Source organism: Homo sapiens, chromosome 5, assembly GCF_000001405.40.
Source record: "Homo sapiens chromosome 5, GRCh38.p14 Primary Assembly".
NCBI classification, from domain to species: Eukaryota; Metazoa; Chordata; class Mammalia; order Primates; family Hominidae; genus Homo; species Homo sapiens.
The window spans coordinates 179962189-179984913 of record NC_000005.10 but is presented as its reverse complement, the minus strand read 5'-3'; the positions used below and the strand labels follow the sequence as shown (position 1 = coordinate 179984913).

Genomic DNA, 22725 nt, shown 5'->3' with positions numbered 1-22725 from the left:
AGCATACCAAATCCAAAATTCTGAAATGCAAAATGCTCTAGTGAGCATTTCCATTGAGTTTCATGTTGGCACTGGAAATGTTTCATACTTAGGAGCATTTCAGATTTTAATTTCAAATGCTTAACTTATATGGAAAAGGCAGGAATACCTCCAATTTCATTGTATGGCACCAGTATCATTCCTAATACCAAAACTAGACAGAACTACTACAAAACAAAACTACAGACCAGGACCCCTCTTGAACATAGATGCACAAATTCTAAAAAATTTAGCAAATTATATTTAACAATATATATAAATTCATCATGACCAGGTGATGTTTACTCCAGGAATATAAGTTTCATTTAACATTCAAAAATTAATGTATTATTACCATATTAGCAGGCCAAAAAAGCTAAAACTGTATGATCTCAATAGATGGAGAAAAGATATTTGCCGAAGTCCAACATCGATTCCTGATTTTTAAACTTTCCTCAAACTATTAGGGCATCTATGAAAAACTGACAGCCACCATTATATTTAATGGTGAACGACTAAATTCTTTTTTCTAACATTAGGAACAAGAGAAGAATGTGTCCTCTGATCACTTCTGTTTCTGCGTTGTTCTTTAGATTCTAGCCAGCACAGTAAGTAAAAAGGAAAAGACGTAAAAGACATCCATTGTGGAAATGGAGAAGTAAGCTGTCTTCATTTACAGACAACATTATTTTCTGTAGAAATTTCGTGTAGAAGATATGTTGGAATCTATGAAAAAGACCAACAGTAGATTTAACAAGGTTCCATGATACAAGATCAATATGAAAGAATTAATTTTATTTCTATATATGAGTAATGAATAATTGAATTGGTTTTAAAAAATGCATTTTCATCAAGCAGATGGTGCACACCTGTAGTTCCAGCTACTTGTGAGGCTGAGGTAGGAAGATTATTTGAACCCAGGAGTTTGAGTCCAGCCTGGGCAACATAACAAGACCCTATCTCTAAGAAAGTTAAATTTTAAGAAATCCCATTTTCCATAGCATCAACAAATAGGAAATTCTTAACAATAAATCTGACAAAATATGCAATATGCCCTATGTAGTGAAAACTAACTATTGCTGAGGAAATTAATCAAGAACTAAGTAGGTGGAGAGACACATACACAGTGTTCAGTGGAAGACTTAATGTTGTTAAGATGCCAGTTCTCCCCAAGTGGATGTATACATTCAGCACAATCTCATTGTAAATCCCTGATGTCTTTTATCATAGAGATGGACAAACTGATCCTAAAGTTCATATGGGAATGCAAAATATCAAGAAAAACCACAAGGATGTTAGAATAGAAAGGAAATGTGGGATGGTTAACACCACCTAATTTCAGATCTATTACAAAGCCTCAGAAATCAGGACAGGATTGTATTTCCTTAATGGTAAACAAATAGATGCATGGTACAATAGTGTCCGCACATAGACCCACATATTTATGGACAACTGGTTTTTGACAGATTTAGAAAGGTAATTCTGTGGAGAATGGACAACCTTTTCAACAAATGATTCTAGAACAATTGTATGTCCATATGCAAAAAAAAAAAAAAAAAAAAGTTCATCTGTACCTGACAGAATACACAAAATGAGTCAGAACCCTAAATACAAAGTACGAAACTATAAAATTTCTAGAAGAGAAAACGGGGAAGTCTTTGTAACCTTGAAATAGGCAAAGCTTCCTTAATATGATACTAGAGCACAGTCTACCAATGAAAAAATGATTAATCGACTTCATCAAATTAAAAACTGCCATAAAGTGAGGGGAAATACATGCAAAAGGATTTTTATCTGGAATATATAATGTTCTCTCAAAAGTCAATAATACAAAACAACTCAGAAATATAGGCAAAACACATGAACAGACACTTCACCACAGACAATGTACACATATAGGCAAAACACATGAACAGACACTTCACCACAGACAATGTACACATGGCCAATAAGTACATGAAAAGATGGTCAACATCATTACAATAGGGAAATGCAAATTAAAACTGTAAGGAGGCTGCGTGCCGTGGCTCACACCTGTAATCTCAGCATTTTGGGAAGCCAAAGTGAGAGGATTGCTTGAGCCAAGAAGTTTCGGACCAGCCTGGGCAACATAGTGAGACCTCGTCTCTACAAAAATAAAAATAAAAAATCAGTTGGTCATGGTGGTGCACCCCTGTAGTTCCTGCTATTCCAGAGGCTGAAGCTGGAGAATCACTTGAGTGAGCCCCAGAGGTCAAGGCTACAGTGAGCCGTGTTTGCACCACTGTACTCCAGTTTGGGAAGCAGAGCAAGACCTTGTCTTAAAAACAAAACAAAACAAAACAAAACACAAAATCTCACCATACCAAGTGTTGGTGAGAATGTGGAGGAACTATAATTTTCATGTATTGCTGTTGCAAATGTAAAATAATATGCCCAGTTTGGAAAACACTTTGGCAGTCTCTTAAATAAAAGTCAGACAACTATCAGGTGAGCCCATCTTTCTACTTGCAGTATTTACCTCAGGAAAAAAGAAAGCATATGTCCATGCAAAGAATTGAGAATGTTGTTGTCAGCTTTTCAGTACAGCCAAAAACTGGACCACAGTGCAGATGTCCCATCAACAGGTGAAAGGATATTGTGGGCCATCTCTTCAGTGGGATACTAGATAACATTAGAAAGGAGTTAACTGTTGAAACATGCACCAAGGTGGCTTAATCTCAAGATAATCATGCTGAGTCAAAGAAGCCGTACACACAGTAGTACATACTGTATCTATTCCATTTATGTAAAACTCATGATGTTGCAGACTGTTACAGCAAAAAGTAGATCATGGAGGGATGGGGTGGCGGGAGGAGGGAATTAGGAAGGGGCACAAAGAAGTTTGGGGATGTGGTAGATACACTGTCTTGATTGTAGTTAGGTTTTCATGGGTAATGAAAACAGCGTAGATTTCATATGCAACTTCAAACTGTAACTTTAAATATATGTCAGGGTGTAGATTTTAAATATATGCAGTCTATTTTAAGTCAATTATATCTCCATAAGGTGGTTTAAAACCAGCGTGACAGAAGGGACTCATAGATTAGGCTTCAAAGACGGAGCAGCCACACGCAGTGTGTGGATTTTGTATCTTGATTCAAACAAGCCAGCTGCTTAAAGACATTCTGTAAACACCTAGGGAAATTGTAGTATAGTGTGAGTATTGGATAATGTTGATTAATCATTGTTACTTTTGTTAGGAAAGACAGTGGCATCTAACAAAAGCCCGTGTCTATTAGAGGTGCTTAGTGAAAATTTTATGGGTGAAATTATGTGATGCTTGCCATATGCTTCAAAATCATCTAACACAGTAAAGAGGGAAACAGATGAAAAATAGAAGTAAAGTACTGGTAATGGAAGCCGGATGTTAGATACATAGGGAAGGCTTTATTAAATCATTCTCTGTTCTTTTGTGTGTTTAAAACTTTCCCCTAAATTTTTTCTTACATGTTTCTATGGGTTTTTAACATTCTTAAGGTGTCCGTTGTTTTGGTCCCCGCCTTGCTCCGTCAGGAGCGGCATCTGCCTTTTCCCACAGTGTAAGGCCTGGATGTGTCTAGAGTGACGTCTCCCTGATGTGCCTGGGACAGTCGCGGTTTTTGCCCCTTGTCCCAGTGTGAGTGTTCCTAGGGCCCTCTGATGCACAAAGCTTTCTAATTTGAACAGGAAAGCAGATGCTCACCTTAGTTTTCTTCACATACCTGTTCTTTACACCTATTTATCTTTACTAGATTATTACTTTGCCTGGAACCCACTCCTACCCCTACACCCGGAACCCCCTCCTAACCCTACGCCTTTCCCATCTAACCCCTTCCCAGTCTTAGTCCAGGCCTCGACTCCTCAAGACCTTCCCTGACGTTCCTCCCCTGCCTCGCCCCACCCCTCCTAGTCGCCTCCTCTGTGCTGCCACCTGGCCCTGGGCATGCTTGAGTATACACCATTAACGCAGCTGTCCCAGTTCAGTGAGCTTTTCCAGGGTAGGGATCACCATCTCTTCATCTGTGGGTTGTTGGTGCCAAGCAGTGCTAGCAGTGTCTGGGAGAATGTTGCATAAATCCAGCCTTGGAGTTTCTCTGCCCTCACCCTTACAGATAATGAAAACAGCTCAACCCTGGAAGGTAAGTACACCTTCCCAGGATCCCAGAGGATGATAGTATAGCGAGCCAGAAGTGGAGCTGTGACGCATTCCTTCTCTTCACACTTGATGATGCGATAAGCAATTTCAAGGAGCGGTCAAGGTTTCCCTTAATAAGACGGCATTTACACACCTAATGGTGATCATTCGTTGAGCAGAATCCAAAAGCCATTGGAGCAGCAGGAGTGGCTCTGGAGTGTGCAAGAAGTAGGTTTGATAGTGCTGTGATGTTTCAAATGTTTATTCGACACAAAATGCAGCAATTATGACACCTAACTTTTTTACTGCTGGAGAATTGAAGACCTATAGTTCTATATTTCTGTTTGACCTAACAGGGTGTTCTAACACTTTTTACTTTTCAACCAGAATGCTGAATCTTGATACAGCCACCATTTTTTCTATTTTATCATTCTCTTATATGTAGGACATGGAGAGGGATGTAGTAAAATAGAGACTTTATACTTTTAATTGCTTAAAAATAAAGTACGTCATTCAGAGATCTTACACTTAGTATCTGTTTTTATTTGCAATTTTCATAGCGTCGTCTCGGAGATGCAGCCAAGAAAGCCATCAGTAAATTGACAACCAGGACAGTAAAGAAGGGTGACAAGGTACAGTCATGAAACAACTTCAGCACCGTAAAAGTAATCCAGCAGTTTTGTTTTTGTTTGGTGGGAGAGGACACACCCTAATTGTTTACATTTCATTCGTTAGATTTTCTCCAACTACACTACCTAATGCTTTATTTTAAACTACCTTCTTACAGTAACTCTAGCTGTGTTTTCCTACAGAGGTTTCTTCTGCTAAAACCTAGCATGCATTTTCAGAGAATTCTGGTGGGACCATTTGTGCGTTAAAAAGCCAGGAGATGTGTTTTCTTCCTATACTTCCTGGGACTTTGCTATGTCTCTTTTGTTGTTTTATTTTTTCACTAGATACATGGAGAGTTGAAGACCTGCATTTCTAGGGAGTTTCACCTAAAAAGGTGCTCTCTTTACAATGGGTTGAGCAGTTTGAAAGAAGAGCAAAGTGTGTCAGGGTCATCCCTGGTGGCTTGGAGGACCAAGGGAGAGAGGCAGTGTCAGGATGCTGTGGCGGAGACCTCTAACTGACATCCCGCCTCAGAGCTCTAGTTATGGTAGAGCCCTGCTTCTCCGCTAGAAGGACACAGTTGCATCTTAGTGCTGCCCCTACATTCAGAGTATTCAAGGTTATCTAGAATGGGAAAATGGCATCTCAAAAGGCATAAAACGAAAACTGTCTCCTGCCCCACACCCAATTCTAATATTTAAGCACAGACTTGTGCCTGGAAGGATAATTTCATATGATTCTCTGTCTTCCTAAGTTTTACCAATTTCTTGGACTTTACCCATTTTATTCCCATTGCCTTGATACCACCGTATCTAGTTGCCTTTGAAACAGCTTCAGAGGGTGGAGACATTCTTAGTGAACTTTATTGTACACCAAAGAAACAGAAAAGGGGGAAATCACTTAAGAAAATAGAAGCAGCATCAAAACGGCTTGCATTTCAATGGCAGAGGAGTGGTGACCACGGTGACAGTGTAGATGCCTTCTTGGCCTGGTAGCCTCAGCTGCCACAATAGTATGAAATTCCCTGGAGCGGATTTAACCTACCCATCTGACTTTGTATCCCGGGCCAGCACAGTTATTTCCTTTAATTATTAAAGCCAATTCATCTTAGTTTGTACCTCCTAGACCTGGCAAGAGTTGTCCACTGAGTTTCAGTCCAAGTGACAGTGACACAGCAAATAGTCTGTTTTCTTGGCTTAGGTTCCTGGCATGTTTTGTTTTATGACAACTTTTGCAAAACCCCTTCTCAGTCCTAGGAGGAAGGAAATCAATTAATCTGGTGTCTGAATACCTGGCTGACTCTTTCTCACTCTTAATGAAGACCGAGTATTGAATTGAGCCAATGACCCTTCTCCATCCCAAATCTGTGACCAGATTCACAGCTCCCATTCTTGGGGTGGGTTTCTAGACAGCAGTCTGCTGGGACTCAACTCACCATCTTTCCTGTCTGTACTTAGGTGTGTGTTTAAGTGAACATCCTGGTGAGCTTCCAGGCTGTGTCAAACATAGCAGTGAAACCTCTTCAGACCAATAAGTAATGCAGGGGGAATGAGGGATGGGGAGATCATGATGGTCCAAGCTGATTCTAACCTGGAAAAAATTAGAATTCCGACTTAATTTTTGTAAGACATATCATAACAAAATTAATATAGATTGTTATAATTTTTAAAACAAAATAGATTGACTTAGACATAATTTGGGCCAATATAGTTAGGCAAATAAAAACAAAATAATTTTAATCATTTTTCAGTTTATAACACTTGCTTACCATAGTAGCCACAGAAAGATTCTGAGCTGAATTGCATCCCAACCATTTATATACTTGCAGCGTGTGACTTTTTGTTTCTGTACTTTTCATTTTAGGAAACTGACCCAGACTTTGATCATTGTGCAGTCTGCATAGAGAGCTATAAGCAGAATGATGTCGTCCGAATTCTCCCCTGCAAGTATGTCAACTTCATTTGTTTGAGAAAGAATGATATTAATGTGCTTTGTATGCCTCCTTTTCAGGGTGGGCATCTCCCTTGCTTTTGAGCGCCACCCACCTCGTGGCTTTCTGGAGGCCAAGTCCGCTGTGCATTGCTGGCCATGGGGCTGAGGCCAGCAGGGAGTGGTGCTGTTCAGCAGGTGCGGGCTGCACGGCCTTCCGAGGTGTAGCCAATATGCGATGTGGCACGCGGCCTCCAGACTCCCCAGACACAGCCTAGGAGTGTTGAGGTCGAGAATTCTTGTTCTATGGTTTCGTTTATCTTTTTATGTTTGTTTTCTTTTATTTATTTATTTATTTATTTTTTGAGACGGAGTCTCGCTCTGTCACCCCAGGCTGGAGTGTGCAGTGGCGCAATCTCGGCTCACTGCAAGCTCCGCCTCCTGGGTTCATGCCATTCTCCTGCCTCAGCCTCCCGAGTAGCTGGGACTACAGGTACCCACCACCATGCCCAGATAATTTTTGTATTTTTAGTAGAGACGGGGTTTCATCATGTTGGCCAGTTGGTCTTGAACTCCTGACCTCAGGTGATCTGCCTGCCTCAGCCTCCCAAAGTCCTGGGATTACAGGCGTGAGCCACCGCACCCGGCCTGTTTTCTTTAAAGATGGGGTTCTCACTATGTTGCGCACAGCTGAACATGAACTCCTGGGCTCAAGCAGTCCTCCTGCCTTGTCCTCTCAAAGTGTTGGGATTACAGGCATGAGTCACTGTGCTTGGCATTGTTTTGTGATTCCTGTGGGTTTCAAAAACAGCCCCTTGTTCCTCTCCATCTTAGACTACATCTCCAAGCCCTTCAGTGAGACTTCCATCGAGCTCACCTGGCTCTGGGTACAACAACTCCAGGGACTTGGATTAAATCTTTTTCTAAACCTGGATTATGCAAAATGGAAAGAACTGATACCTGCTTTGTGCCTGCTGTGGTTCAGATGCTCTGCTCTGAGCAGACTATACTCACTGTCTCCTATAATTCTCCCAGCAGTCCTAAGAGGGTGTGTTTTCCCCGTTGTACAGTGAAGGATGGTGAGCCGATAGCAGGTTCCAGGGTCGCACAATTCAGAAATGGCAGAGCTGTGTCAAGGCCTGCCTTTAATGTGGTGCTCCCCACATGGGACCAAGCCTTCCTCCATGAGGAAAGGACTCGCCTGTGCCTGGTTGCCCTGGAAACAGCATGTTGGTTTCTCCTGTGGCTCCTCTCAAGCTGGGGAGCATGAAACTAAGATACACAGTTCTGAGTATCAATTGGATAAATAGGAAATCACCTGCCAAGAAGCCTAAAACCAAAGAGTTTGCCTCTTCCTCCTCCCTTCCCTTTAAAAGACATCCACACAACTCCAGCCTTATAATATGGAGCATGTGAATTAATAAAATAATTGTGAGTTGTTATCTCCATGAGGCTACTGGTCTTATTTTACTTACAAAGTAATCTATTTTGAGTCTAGGAAGATCTGTTTTTAAAAAAAAAAAAAAAATCAAACTGAAGAAGAATTACATGTACTGAAACAGAAATCCAAGATTCTGGAAGTCCAGTCATTCTAGTTTACATATAAAGGAAAATCTATAAAACTAAATGTAAGCTGTCCTCTAGAAAATTAAACTGTGGAACAGCCAGTCTTCCTTCACATGCAGTCATTGACGGTCTAAACGTGAGGCTAAAGGAAATGCACACGCCAGTGCAAATCAGGAGAAGGGCCAGCGGGACACAGGGAGGCGTCATCCACACTTGCCTGCTTCAACACTGGAATGACCAGGAGAAGCCAAGGCTCTCCAAATTCTGTCTTGCTGTTTCAGCCCAGGATCCTCCAGAACCATATGGCACCTAAAACTACGGGCCTCCAAAACCATTCATGGGTATATTACTAGAATGAGGGGATCTTCCCTCAGGGGAGGCTCGGCCTAAAGTAGTTTATTCTGGGAACTTAATCCCATTATCTTCATCCCTTCAGTGTTGACTTTTCCAGTTTCATTCGGAGTTATCTTTTTCCTTTTGTATAATTTTTATTTTTTGTAGAGTTGGGGTCTCACTATGTTGCCCAGGCCGCTCTGAACTCCTGGCCTCAAGTATCCTCCCACCCTAGCATCCTGAAGTGCTGGGATCACAGGCATGAGCCTGACGTCTGGCCCTCTTTTTAAAATTTAGTTCATTGCTTTCCAGACCTGACTGCATCAGAGTCAGTGGGAGGCTTTCAGAAGCATCCCGGGTGGAGGCCGGGCATATGCGCTTTAATTATAAGTTCCCGCCCGATTCTCGTGCTGCAAAGCCACGCCTGCCACCAAGGTCCAGGCCATGGTTGATCTGAACCATTTCTGCGCTGCACCTGCCACCATAGAAGTGGTTTGTGTTTGTGGTCTGCTTGTGAATGTTAGAATTTTTGGCACGGTTCACGGAATTTCGCTGCACCCTCTATGGTACTGTTACTTGGTTGTCTTTCAGTACTGGGTCACTGTGTTACTAGCTGTGCTTACTGCCCTGGCTGAGTGTAGAGTTTTCCCTGTTGCTGTGGAACTGAGCGGCTGTTTGTTCCTCTTACACTCCACGCATCACCAAGCTGTAACTTTCCCTGAGACTGCACCACACAGCCTGCTCAGCACAGCACACCATCTCACTGCCATGTAGCGACAGTGCAGTTATCAGGTGTAGCAAAAATTAACTTTACACATCAAGCGGTACTTGTGACAGTCTTTAAGCTAGAGCAGCATTTCTCAGCCTTGGCACTGTTGACATTTGGGACCAGGTCATTGTGTGGGGGTGTGGGCCTGGCAGTGTCCTTGGCCCTCTACCCACTAGGTGTCAGTAGCGCCCACCCACACACAGTTGTGACAACCAAAACTGCCTCCAGATGAGAACCGCTGAGCTGAGGATGGCTGTGCGCGGCTCTTCAAGCCTCACCCCAGCAGATGCCACTCGCAGCTGCGCCTTCGCGCTCACCAAACTGCCGCTTACAGAATTCCTTCTGCCTTGGGACGCCTCCCCGCCCCTATTGTCTTTGAAGCCCAGAGTCGGTGTTACCTGCTGTGGCTTTCTGTACCTCATGTTGCTAAGCGGTTCTGTTCCCTCACCGTCTTCCCACGGGACTCTGAACAGACTTGGCAAGACAGAGCCTCCCCGCCTGGCTGGCGCTCCGCATTCGGCACAGCAGCACCTGCAGGTGTGTTCACTCTACTTCAACACCTTAACTCACACGCTTGTTCTTCACTCTCAGAGGACCGCTTCACCATTGACTGCCCAGAGGAAGCAATGGGTTTAATTCCCTCAGCGTGCTGACCCGGGTGCGCAGGCCGGAGAGGCCGTCTGCTGCGGTCCATGCCGCTCCTCCCCGCGCCGCTGCGTGCCTGCTCTCTCCCTTCCTCGGGGCCTCGTTCTCTTGGCTGGCTGCTCCTTCCAGTGTTCTGTCTCCACTCGCCGGCATCTCGTGACACTCGCATTTCCCAGTCCAGTTTTTAAAACTCTCTTTCAAAGCCATCGCCCTCCAAGTACTGCCCCACAGCGTCTGCTGTCACACCTGCCCACTGCCTCTTCCCTCCGTGAGGGAGGGAGATGGGCCTGGACACCCTCGTGTCCATCTTTCCTTAACGATTCACAAGCTCAGCTAGGACTTTCTATCCAGAGCTGTCAAGCCGCTCATGGATTGCCTGCTTCTTGCCACGTGACGTTTCCTTTTCCTCTTCTGTCGCACTATTTACTGTGGACAGATGGCAGTTGGCATGGCGGAGGGGCCTCCTCCTCGGCTCAGTGATCACGGCTGATTCTCCTTTGGATGTTAGCCAGCAGGTCTTAGAAACCGAGGAACTGTCACCTGGTCTTATTAGACCTCTTAAAGGTCGGCCATCGGAGTGTGTAGTCGTTAGAAGTACGTTTTCAGAAGTGGAGTTGCCGCGTGGATGAACGTATGTTTCCATGCCACTTCAGGAGCTAAAGCGGGGGGCCGGCCGCTGCAGATGTCTGAGGCTCCACTGCAGCCGAGGGTCCATAGAGACAGAGACTGCTGCCAGCCCCAGCTAGCAGAAGAGAGTTCTTGTCTGGGACCTTTAATAATCCTGCATCCTTTTATATTTGCCAGGTTCTTACATGGCACCAAGAGGCTGCAGAGCTGTGAGAGCAACTCACCTTCAATATAGAGGCCTCCCCTCCCGCAGCACTCTTCTGCTCACTCTAGTTCATGGCATGTGTGGGACATAGGAAAGGGGAGGGCGCTGAATTTCATGATTGCTGGGTTTGTTCCTTTCATGTTCTATTTGTTTCTCGTTCTGTATCCCCAAGTATTTCTCATAGGAATAAAGGACTTTGTTGGCGCTCAGTATGCTTGTGCTTTTCAGGTTTCACTGTCCACGTTACCTGCTTTCCGTCCCGATGCACCACCCACCCTGTGTGTGGCGGGCCTGTTTTTTATTTATGTGTGTTTTTATCACGTGAGTGGGGAACTTCTTTTCAAGGCCCTACTTGCCCCAGGTGCCTCTTTCTGAGGCCTCCTGGGTGTCCATGGAGCACCTTCCATAATGAGAGCCCAGAGCCATAGTGAGGGTGAGCGCGGTCAGGCGTGCGGGAATGGCCAGGTGGCGGGGCCGCTCTGCCCGTGTGATGGCCCTGCAGGTGCTCAGCCTTGGCCCACATGCTGTGTTGCATTGACTGCTCCAGACACTTCCCAAGGTAGATTAAACGCCCCTGGCCCAGTCCTTAGCTGAGACCTCTGCACAGCAGAAAGGTGGTTTGCCGAGCACCAGACTGTTGTAGCAGAACTTTGCCTAGAAGGGAAGAAAAGGCCACAGTGAGTTCAGTGAAAGTTGCACTGAAGAGACTAGCAGGAGGGTTAGACAATGGGTGATGAGGAGAAAAAGGTGCCGTGTTCAGGGCAGCTGCCTGTGGAGATCACAGAAGAGACAGGAGAGGAGGGCCATGGGTGAAGAGAACAGCCACCCAGCTTTGTGGAAGCGAGGGATGTGCCATGGGAATTTGAGACTGAAGATCTCTGGGTGAGTTGCACAGAAGCTGGACTAGCGGGGAATTTGGAAAGACAGGAGGGAAGGGTGTTCAGTGCTCAGAGGTAGGGTCAGGAGTAAGAGAGGGATGGGGTGGATGGAGAGCCCAAAGGAACTTTTTTTTAAAGACCAAAAATATTTCAGATTTTCATTTAGCTGAGGAAGGGAGGTTTTCTAAATTTGTCACCAGAGAACCAGTTGGTCTTTTTTGTTTTTCTTCATAGTACCCCACAGCCTAGAGGAGAAATTTTTAATTGTTTAGTAAAACAGAGGGGTGGGCACTTCTTTTATATCAATAATCCTAGAAGGAAACAGTTACTCAAGAACCCAAACATATTTATAACTAATTTCAGGTTAAAGAAACAGGCAGAGAACACTGTACTCATGCAGCTTTAAAAATGAAATATGAGGATTATACCATTTGGTTCTTTCTGGATAGTAAGAGAAAAGAAAGACGGAACAATAAGAAAAGGGCAAAGCAAAATCTGGCCCCAGTAGGGAGCACCAGAGCCGCACCTCCATCCCCCCAGGTGGTGCTGCGGCTTTACCAGGTCCCCACCAACAGTTCAGCAAGCCCAGCCACCCCCCACCCTCATCTGGATACCTCTCACTCCTGCACCAGAGCCCTGATCAGAAGTCAAGGCACCTAGGCCTCCCCCGACCCCCAGCGGGATGCCTCCCATTCCTGCACCAGAGCCTTGATCAGAGGTCACAGCATCATATGTCTTCCATTACCTGTCAGTCAGCCAAGTCCCATCGTCCACCCTGTGTAGGCCTGACCTGCAGCACCTTCCCGGCCACCCCACCCTAGCGCTAACCCAGTGCATAGGTCCGTACTCCTCCTGAAAATGTATGCAAGGTACTAGGCATTTGCGTCCCCGTGACTTTTCAGAGGGAGGTTCTGTAACTTCTATCAGATCTAAGGGAGTTTGTATGCCCCAAAAGGGTTAAGCCTGTTGTGGTCTTTGTTGGTCAGTAGCCAGCATTAGTGCACTTGACCCCTGCTGGAAAGTCCAGCTGGCCCTGGGGACACCCTGGAGTAAGGAACCACTCCACACACAGAGGCTACGAGTAACAAGACATAACGCCTTAGGTGTACTGAATGTATCTGGGGCTTACCTATGGATTGGTGGGTTTCCAGCCCTTAAGTAAAAGCTTTAAGGTTTAAATAAATGCCTTCAGGGGTGATGGTTCTGGTTATTTCATTGTCTGTGAATTTAAGACTAGATTGATAAATTCATTCTTCAAGATCTTTACTCTTGTCCCCAAAGAAGTGAGTATAAGGCCATCAAACAGTGATAGGCAGACGTGTGTGTATATTGTTCAGGCCAAAGTTGTAAGCATGAATGTTTGTTCCAGATCCCAGTAGAAACTGAGTTCTCTAGACCTCTTTTTATAAATCAAAACTGCATTTTTAAACAGCTGTAAATAACATTAACTTAGAAATTGACAATCAAAGTTGTAAAGGTATATACCATGATTCAATTTGGCATCTTACTTAAAAATTTCTTTTATCTTGGCCGGGTGTGGTGGCTCACGCCTGTCATCCCAGCACTTTGGGAGGCCGAGGCGGGCGGATCACGAGGTCAGGAGATGGAAACCATCCTGGCTAACATGGTGAAACCCCGTCTCTACTAAAAATACAAAAAATTGGCTGGGCGTGGTGGCGGGCTGCTGTAGTCCCAGCTGCTTGTGAGGCTAAGGCAGGAGAATGGTGTGAACCCGGGAGGCGGAGCTTGCAGTGAGCAGAGATTGCACGACTGCACTTCAGCCTGGGCGACAGAGCAAGACTCCGTCTCAAAAACAAACAAACAAAAATTTCTTTTATCTTATCCCAAACTCAGATTAGTGTTTCTTCCAAAGCTGCCCTGAACGTCTGTCCTGGCACCCACCTTCTCCCTGTTTGGCCAGGACTCTAGAGCTTCAGAAGGCTGCTGGGCCGGGTGCTAGAGCTTGAGAAGTAATTTCTGCAGCTCTTCCGGAGGGCACAAGTTCCTTTTTTTAAGAATGCAAAACCCTGTATGACTGACTTATTTCCAGTCACAAGACTGTGACTTTCTACTTGCCTGAATAAGAGAGAAAATCTCCCATCCTCCCCCGTTAACATTTCAGCTGAAAATTGCTGAGTGTTACTTGAATCTAGGCACAGTTTACCCCTTAAAATAGTTTCAGCTTCCCTGTAGCTTTTATAAACATTCAACATAAGTTGCTTAGAAGTTTTTAAAAATGATGTTTTAAATGACATTCAATCAGGGTGCCAAAAAACTAATCACTATACAGAGAACTCTTCACTTAGCCATGATTTAGTATCTTTTTGAAACTCCATTTTTCTATGTTAGCTATTGTAGAAAGCATAACTGGTTTATAAGGTGTGATTATTTTCATTCTTAATAAATTTTCTAAGTTTCCATTAGTCCTTTTTGGAATTTGGTAAAATAAAAGGCCCAAACAACCAAATCCTACTTAGCAGTTCTTACACGGTGTTGTACATATGAGGTTGGGCTCAGGAGATTTTCTGCAAGTTATATTTTAATAAATTCCCAATATTTGTCTCTTGGGGCTTAAAATATGTCCTGAAAGGGGGAAAAGAAAACTTAACTAAAAATTCCCTTTCTTTCCATTTTGGCCTAATAAGTTTCTTGGTATGTAACTTGTGACATAATTCTCCATTATTTTATAGGCATGTTTTCCACAAATCCTGCGTGGATCCCTGGCTTAGTGAACATTGTACCTGTCCTATGTGCAAACTTAATATATTGAAGGCCCTGGGAATTGTGGTACGTTTCCTATTTTATTTGTTACCACTTTTGTATATTATTATATGTATGTGTAATACAATATAACATAATTGGCATAATAGGAGGCATGACTAAGACACAGAAGAAAACACTGGCTATATTTGCCATGTAACCATGTAAGCCCAACAGGACCTTTTTACCAGATTACTAAGAAGTCTAATCCATCTCAGAGAACTCCTGGAAGAGAAGGTAAATAACTCTACTAGGCCTTTTTTTTTCTTTTTTTAAATTTAAGAGACAAGGATTCACTCTGTGGCCCAAGCTGGAGTGTAGTGGTGCAATCATAGCTTACTGTAACCTCGAACTCCTGGGTTCAAGCAGTCCTCCCACCTCGCCTTCTGAGTAGCTGGGACTACAGGCATACACCGCCATGCCTGGCTAACTTTTTTGTTTTTTTGAGAGGGAGTTTTGCTCTTGTTGCCCAAGCTGGAGTACAATGGCACGATCTTGGCTCACTGCAACCTCCGCCTCCCAGGTTCAAGCGATTCTCCTGCCTCAGCCTTCTGAGTAGCTGGGATTGCAGGTGCCCGTCACCACCCCTGGCTAATTTTTTGTATTTTTAGTAGAGACAGGGTTTCACCATGTTGTCCAGGCTGGTCTCCAACTCCTGACCTCAGGTGATCCACCCGCCTCTGCCTCCCAAAGTGCTGGGGTTACAGGCGTGAGCCACCGTGCCTGGCCACTTTTTTATGTTTTGAAGAGACAAGATGTTCAGGCGGGTCTCAACTCCTGGCCTCAAGTGATCCTCCTGCCTCAGCCTCCCAAAGTGCTGGGATTATAGGCGTGAGTCACCACACCTGGCATGGTCCACTTTTAAAAGGGTGCTTCTGTTGGTCGATGAGTATGGGATGAAGAAAGAGAGAAGGACATGATTTTTCTTCATTCCAGTACCTACCTTTAGAAGGTAGGCTGTATGCTGTTGACTCTGTTCCAGTCATAAACTCCTCTGTGCTTGGCATAATATAAAACGATGTCATTGCTTATGTTCTTTAGCCTGAAGTTTGACTTTGATCTCTTGAGGGTTGGTAAGTTGCAAGCAGAGAAGGCAGGCAGTGACTGGAGCCCAAGGAGAACTGTTGACAACCACAGCCTGGCAGGGGCTGTCGCCAGGCGTGCCAGAGTCCAGCTGTGGCAGGTGCCAGGTCAACACTGACTTGAGTAACCAAGGACCTTCGTTAGCCCTTGCTTAAGAGAAGCATGTATAGCCAGGGTTATGCTTTTTATTGGAAAATAACATAGTTTCTGGTCTCAAAAAAGAATGAAAGAATGATCTCCTTATGGAACAAAAAGTTTAGTTTGATCCAACAGATGAACTCATTTTAGCTTGCAACCCAAAGGAGATCGAAGTCATCTTATTTTAAATATACTGTCAAACACAGTTTCAGTGTATACAGTTGGGCAGTAATGCCCCATTTGTCCTTTGTCTCCAGAGATCATGTCAGTAGTGATGGGATTTCTCAAAGTATCGGGCATTAGTGACACCATGGACTGGACAATCCCTTCTTGTGGGGGCTGTCCTGTGCATCGTAGACCGTTCAGCAGCATCTAAATGCTAGTAGCATGGCACCACAGCCACGACAGTCAGAAATGTCTCCAGACGTTGCCAGATGTCCCCCAGGGAGCAAACTCACCCCCATTTCAGACTGGTCTAACATAGAGCATCTGCCATGATGCCTAGCACAGTGTAGAAACTTTCTCTCTTTTTTTTTTTTTTTTTTTTTATGAGACAGAGTCTCCCTTTGTCACCCAGGCTGGAGTGCAGTGGTGTGATCTCAGCTCACTGCAACCTCCACCTCCCAGGTTCAAGCAGTTCTCATGCCTCAGCCTCCCTTGTAGCTGGGATTACAGGCACCTGCCACCACACCTGGCTAATTTTTGTGTTTTTAGTAGAGATGGGGTTTCCCCATGTTGGCCAGGCTGGTCTCAAACTCCTGACCTCAAGTGATCTGCCCTTCTCGGCCTCCCACAGTGCCGGGATTACAGGCGTGAGCCACCGTGCCTGGCCAACAGTGTAGAAACTTGAAAAACAGTAACTTACCCTCTGTTGTTACCGCTAGCCGCCGCCTTCTTTTTTTGTTTGTTTGTTTGTTTGTTTTGAGACAGTCTTGCTCTGTCGCCCAGGCTGGAGTGCAGTGGTGCGATCTCGGCTCACCGCAAGCTCCGCCTCCTGGGTTCATGCCATTCTCTTGCCTCAGCCTCCCGAGTAGCTGGGAGTACAGGCACCCGCCACCATGCCCGGCTAATGTTTTGTATTGTTAGTAGAGACGGGGTTTCACCGTGTTAGCCAGGATGGTCTCGATCTCCTGACCTCGTGATCTGCCCGCCTCGGCCTCCCAAAGTGCTGGGATTACAGGCGTGAGCCACCGCGCCCAGCCTGTTTGTTAAGTATATTAAGTGCTAATACTTTTCTCCTCTGTTTATAACAAAAATCCTCCTAAAATGTATTGCAGGTTATCATTGGATCCTTAAATGTAATGAACATAAAAAAACCTCTTTTAACTGGGTGTGAGCCTAAGCATCACTTAGTACACTGCCTTTTGCTGTTTTAAATAAGGCTTTGAGATGACCTGAAACAGTTCTTTTGCCCAGGAAGCCATTAGTTCCAGGTTTGGTTGGCTGAAACTTCTCTCTATAAACATACAAACTTCTCACAACCACCCCTCCCAGCTGTGCTTCTCATGTGCTGCCTGCTGCTGCCTGCTGAGAGAACCAAAGGTTGTTAGGTAAACAAATAGCCACATTGTTACAACGGAAGACTTTTGGTGCTCACTTTTTAATTGGTAGACTTTGGCCCCAAGCAGCTCTATACCTCTCCCTCAGGATTAGGTGCTTAGGTTTTGAAACAGATCATTTTCTTATAGTTCAAAAGTCTTTTCAACTTTGACCTATTCTTGGTTTTATGCTTTTCTTGTGTTTAAAGGCAGACCATACTTAAAAACTGACTACCAGATAAATGGGGCTTTTAGAGAAGTTAGTAGGATGAAAGAGGTGTTTTCTATTACCTGGGATTCTTCAACATGGACATTTACCATGAAGCAAAGTAATAGTTTACTCTTTTAAACTGGATGTTTGCTATCTTTATGTTAATGATTACGACTCCCTGTGCCTGTGGGCCATGACCAGTCTTCTCTGATCTGCAATGAATTTTAGTTTTCCTTTGTAACATTTCTGAGAGGAGATCTCTGTGCCTTTTGAAGAAAAACTCTTAGGGTGAGAGAAGAAGGAGTAGGTAGGTGGGCAGATAAATGAGAGGACATCACAGGAAAAGAACCTGGTAAGGTCTTTGCAACAGGGCGTCAAAGTTTAGAATCTTTTTTAGAATCTTATGAAAGGTTGTGTTTTCCTTACAATTATTTTTAACCTGGAAATATTTTGCAGCCGAATTTGCCATGTACTGATAACGTAGCATTCGATATGGAAAGGCTCACCAGAACCCAAGCTGTTAACCGAAGATCAGCCCTCGGCGACCTCGCCGGCGACAACTCCCTTGGCCTTGAGCCACTTCGAACTTCGGGGATCTCACCTCTTCCTCAGGATGGGGAGCTCACTCCGAGAACAGGAGAAATCAACATTGCAGTAACAAGTAAGTGGGGGCCTCCGCTCAGGCACAGGGCATGTGGCTGCCTATGTGGGCATTCGGGACCATCAGGAGAGTCAAGGCACTCGCCTCAGCCTGCAACACAGACTGTAACCAAGAAAGTGATGTGTGTTGCTGTTAAAACAGGTATTTGGAAGAATGAAACTTTATTTATGATAAGTAGCTGGTGTGTTTGTGTATAATTAATAGGAATAGCTGCATTTGATGAGTAGCTGTTCAGAGGTCTGTCTTAGTCGCTGTTTTATAAACCTTGTTTTGAAATCATTGCATTACAAACAGGCATTTAAAGGGAGATGTTGGAAGGTGACACAGTCCCCCAGCAGTATTGCTGGTGTGTTGTATGCTGTGAGCGCTCGTGCTCTCCACCTCCGGGGCTACAGGCTACTTAGTGGGAAACTCATCTAGAACTTGAACCTAAAAATTCACAGTTCTTGGAACATAGCCTGTTGCGCACTTTATTTTACATTTTTTATGGAAGTTTGGTCTCTTGGCACTTAACTCTTTGGTGTAGTTGTACATGAGGTAGGAGAAAAGCCAAAGGACAATCTGCCTGAAAAAAAAATACCGTGAGCTAGTTATGAACGTCTTCACATTGCACTGTCGACTAGCAGGAAAGAAATGCTGAGTGTATTGATGGCGGTGCCTCAGGACGGTGTGAGTGAGCTGACAGCGTGTGTGTAGGCATCATAGACATTCAGCCCTCAACAAGCCAGCTCTTCTCTTCGCTTCCATTCTCTACATGTTCCTTTCATCTAACAACCTTTCACCCATCTTCCTGGTTGCTGCTCTGCTGTTGCCTTTCCCAGCACCTGCTGCTGCTTGCCTAGCACGTCACGCCCTGAGGCTCGTGGGACCCTTCTCCAGTCTGGGAGTCAGTGAAATGGATGACACTGTTACAAAATGTTTCTCCTCACATGTTAAGACTCGTGTGGTCTGTTCAATCAAAGTATTCATGTTTTTAACCAACCAGACATTATTATTAGAAAATGATTGCCCAGGTTGTATTCTGTCATCTGTGTAAACTCAGGGAGGCTTCATTCAGCTATGCAATAGAGAAAACTGTGCTTTGAGTGTAGTTTGGCTCATTTCTCACCATCTCTCGATTCGTTTAATAGCATTTCATGGTTTTCTTACTTTGGCGTTGAGGTTTTATGGTCTACAGTTTTAAAACTTGATTGAGTAGTAATAAAGGACACAAAGGTTGTTGGTTTATTAGTGAGTTTTTCAGGTCCTTCATTGATCAAACATTTATTGAGCACCTACTACTTACTACATTAAGTACTGATCCCATTACATTTTATGTAGAAATGTCCTTTCAAAATCTTATACTTTGATGAAAAAAAGTTACTTCATATACCAAATTAATCACCTTTAGCAGAATTTGCACATGATGTTAATAAATAAAACCCACGTGATTGAACTAAACCACAGCTACCTCTGCTTTCCCTCCGAAGCCCTGGGCACCGTAGCAACCACAGTGCCTCCCGCTGGCACCCACTGTGTGCCAGGCACTGTGCTAAGTAGGCACTGGGGGCAGAGGTAGCCAGGCCGGCTGCAGGGGGGCACTGTGGAAATGCTGCCAGCATATTGGGTGTTTTATGATGGTGTTTACTTCCTTTTGTTACTAGTTTTTAAAATTGCAATCACACACACACAAAGACATGCAAATACGGGATGGTAGACTCAGAATTTGGAAGCATAGATGTGACGAAGTTCTACAAGGTAGTCTGCATATCATATATAAAAGTCTCCAAGAAGAAAAAAGAGGATACTGTGTTAAGTTCCTTGATGATGATGACATTCGGCTCTTGATTTTTATAAATGCCATATACATTTTCCCTAACTTAAAACATTACAGGTAAAAATGGTGGGTTTTATATGTGTTTTTGAATGTTCATGCTGATTAAATAAAAAGCTTCAATCTACTGATGAGGAAGTTTGTAATTTGAGAGGCCGTGGCTGCACTGGTGTCTAAAAGATAGGGGTTTACTAAGCATTTTAATAACACAAGCTAAGGTGGGCAGAGAAATGCTCCTAGAGCACTCTCTGGACCGGAAGTCCCCAGGAGCAGTGCTGCGTGACCTTTTGAAAGTCACCACCTTTAAAATCTAACAAAAGTATGTTTTTCTAGAAAAATGCCTATGCACACACAATTCTGCATGCAGGGTTAGGATTTGTGGAACCCAGATTGAGAAACACACATGCTGTATACAGCTTGTGCATAAAACATTTGGCAGTCCACGTGTAAAGAGTTCTCTCTGCCTTCTTGCACATATATAGGTAATTTTATTGTATAACATTTTGTTAAAACAGCCCTAGTCAGTGTGTACTCAAAGAAATATTTTATAGTTAAGACTTTTTAGCAAGTCAGATTGGTTCTTAGGTTGTTTTAGAGGTTCTCAATAAATACTGTTTTTAAAATGTTACCTTGACAACATAGGCTCTGAAAAGGTAAAGGAGAATATCTGGATGGAGAGAGAGAGACAGTCTAGTAAACATCCTTATTGTTGTAAGCACCAGAGGTTTTCAGCTCTGTGGTGGCCAAGTACCCGGTCAGTCGCCCGCCCCTCCTACTTGTGCTTGTCACAGCCTGGACAGCCAGTGCTGCTCCTCGGCAGGGGTTGGGAAGAGTAGTTTCTACTTTCTTGAGACACCAGTGAGATGTCCTTTTTACGTAAATATCCTAAGTAAGCCCATGCATAAGAGAGAAGAATGTAGCCATGGATGCCATGGGAGGCCGGCTCGCAGACGGCTGGGAGCACCCACAGGACCTGGAGAACTGCTGCTCCGTGCTCCTCAGCCTTTGACTAAGAATGAAAGCCCTGCAGAAATGACAGAATGAAGAAGGAAAGAAGGTTATAAATATGCTTAGTCTACTTTACTGTCATTTACATTAACAATGAAAAAAATCTATGTCCTTGTGCAATTTTATATACATATTTTCACCGCACACTTTTTGGTGGCTACACTCCTCACAGACCTCAGGACCTAAATGGAAGAAATGGTTGAGCCATGCTTTCCTTTCTCCCTTGCAGCTTTCACCAGTACTTCCACTAACCTTCTCCAGTTAGTAGCTCTCTGGCAAACCTCCTGCTTCACTTCCTTGGGCCAATCTTGGCTTACACCTCCGTTGACGTCTGCTTCGTTGCATTTGAGGGAAATGTTGGCATCGATTTGACTTAAACCTTCTCCCCAGAGTGATTTCCTCCCTTTCCTTTGTCAACAGAAGAATGGTTTATTATTGCCAGTTTTGGCCTCCTCAGTGCCCTCACACTCTGCTACATGATCATCAGAGCCACAGCTAGCTTGAATGCTAATGAGTAAGTAACAAATTGTTTTTGGATTGCATGTGCCAGATGATCCCAGGAAAACACATGGAGCAGTTTTCATGAAGGTGGTGAGAACTGGCTTTCTACCAGTTTCATACGGATCCTGATGGGATCGTATCTAGCAAAATACTTTATTTCATGAGCATATATTTTTAGTCAGTAACACAGATTGGGAATTCACCTTATTCAACAAGAGCAGCCCGTTTGAGAAAAGATCCAGAGGTTTTCATTAGCCACAGGCTTAGAATGAATCAGCAGTGTAATGCAAGTGGCAAAGGAGCAGTATAGTCTTAGAGTGTAAAAGGCTGTCAGCATCCTCATCGCTGATGGGAAGAGCCCACTTTGCGTTCATCACACACATCTGGAGCCTGGCATGTCTAGCTTCTGGGGAAGCCCCGGCGGCCGTGCCTGTGGTCAGGACCAGTGCCTTGGGTACTTGGCCTGCAGGAAAGAAGCAGTTTGAAAGACCCGCTGTTTCCAGATGTTAGGACAGCTGTGAGGAGGAAGAGAAAATAAGTCTAAGCGCTATCTCCATGGGCAAAATGGCGACCAAAGAGCAGGCTCCATGACGGCAGGCTTCACGTCGGTAAAAGGAAGGACGTCTGTCGGTGGGGTTGGTTAGTGGCGGGATGGTTTGCTGTAGGGCACGCTCAGGACTGGGAATGTAGGCAGAGGCTGGATGTCACTTGTCAGGGGTGCTGTAGTGAGGTGTTTTGAGAGGATGGAGGATTGGGCTAGATGACTGTTATGGTCCATTTTGATCCAATGCTGTTCCAAGAGTAGCTTTCCATAGGGATAAGGTATAGAAAGGGTTTTTTTATTTTTGCTTTGTTTTGTTTTGTTCTAAATTTTGGACATTTACTGAGGATATCGTTCAGTCCTTTCTTTTACCAATATTCATGAAAACTAATTAGAGATGAAAGCAACCCTGGGGTCCTGCCCAAATTTGAACCTAGGTTGATATGGGTGGAATTCACGTGATCTCCATATTCAATTACGTCCTGATACTTTAATTGATGAGTAATAACCAAACTGATTACCTCATGCAGTTGATGTAATTGACTGCCCATTGTCTGGCTATAGAAACTGTAATTGACATCTATAGAAACAATGGGCAAGTGGCCTCCACTTGCAGTGGCATGTGTTATTCAATCTAACCTCATCTGGGGCTAGATACTTGGAAGAAGTGCCCCCTGGCATCTGTGAGCCATACATGTTGAGGCTCACAGATGTCAGGGTCGGGTGGCATTCCCCAGCCTTCAGAGGAGCACTG

The 22725-nt window shown here is 44.3% G+C and overlaps 1 protein-coding gene and 1 long non-coding RNA gene across 4 annotated transcripts in view, besides 1 other annotated feature; one reads left to right on the top strand and one right to left on the bottom strand.

Annotated features, from left to right (window-relative positions):
- RNF130 (ring finger protein 130) overlaps positions 1-22725 on the top strand; it is a 160109-nt gene that overhangs the window by 86846 nt on the left and 50538 nt on the right. For 2 of the 3 annotated variants that reach the window (NM_001410829.1, NM_001280801.2), the window contains exons 4-7: positions 4714-4785; positions 6629-6711; positions 14408-14504; positions 17904-18108. In NM_001410829.1, the coding sequence (NP_001397758.1) occupies positions 4714-4785; positions 6629-6711; positions 14408-14504; positions 17904-18108 (457 nt within the window). Of the gene's footprint in view, positions 1-4713; positions 4786-6628; positions 6712-14407; positions 14505-17903; positions 18109-21349; positions 21444-22725 lie in introns of all 3 variants that reach the window. The other variant, NM_018434.6, reaches the window with a different exon arrangement.
- Positions 4676-10385, bottom strand: LOC124901150 (uncharacterized). Its single transcript, XR_007059084.1, has 2 exons — positions 9761-10385; positions 4676-6355 (listed from the first exon to the last, which is right to left on the bottom strand). It is a non-coding gene; the product is annotated as an uncharacterized LOC124901150 (long non-coding RNA).
- Positions 9643-9702: an enhancer, noted in NCBI's record as "active region_23767". NCBI's record gives its function as "activates an Ori minimal core promoter by ATAC-STARR-seq in GM12878 lymphoblastoid cells {active_cell/tissue: GM12878}" and the evidence as "EXISTENCE:reporter gene assay evidence [ECO:0000049][PMID:35858748]".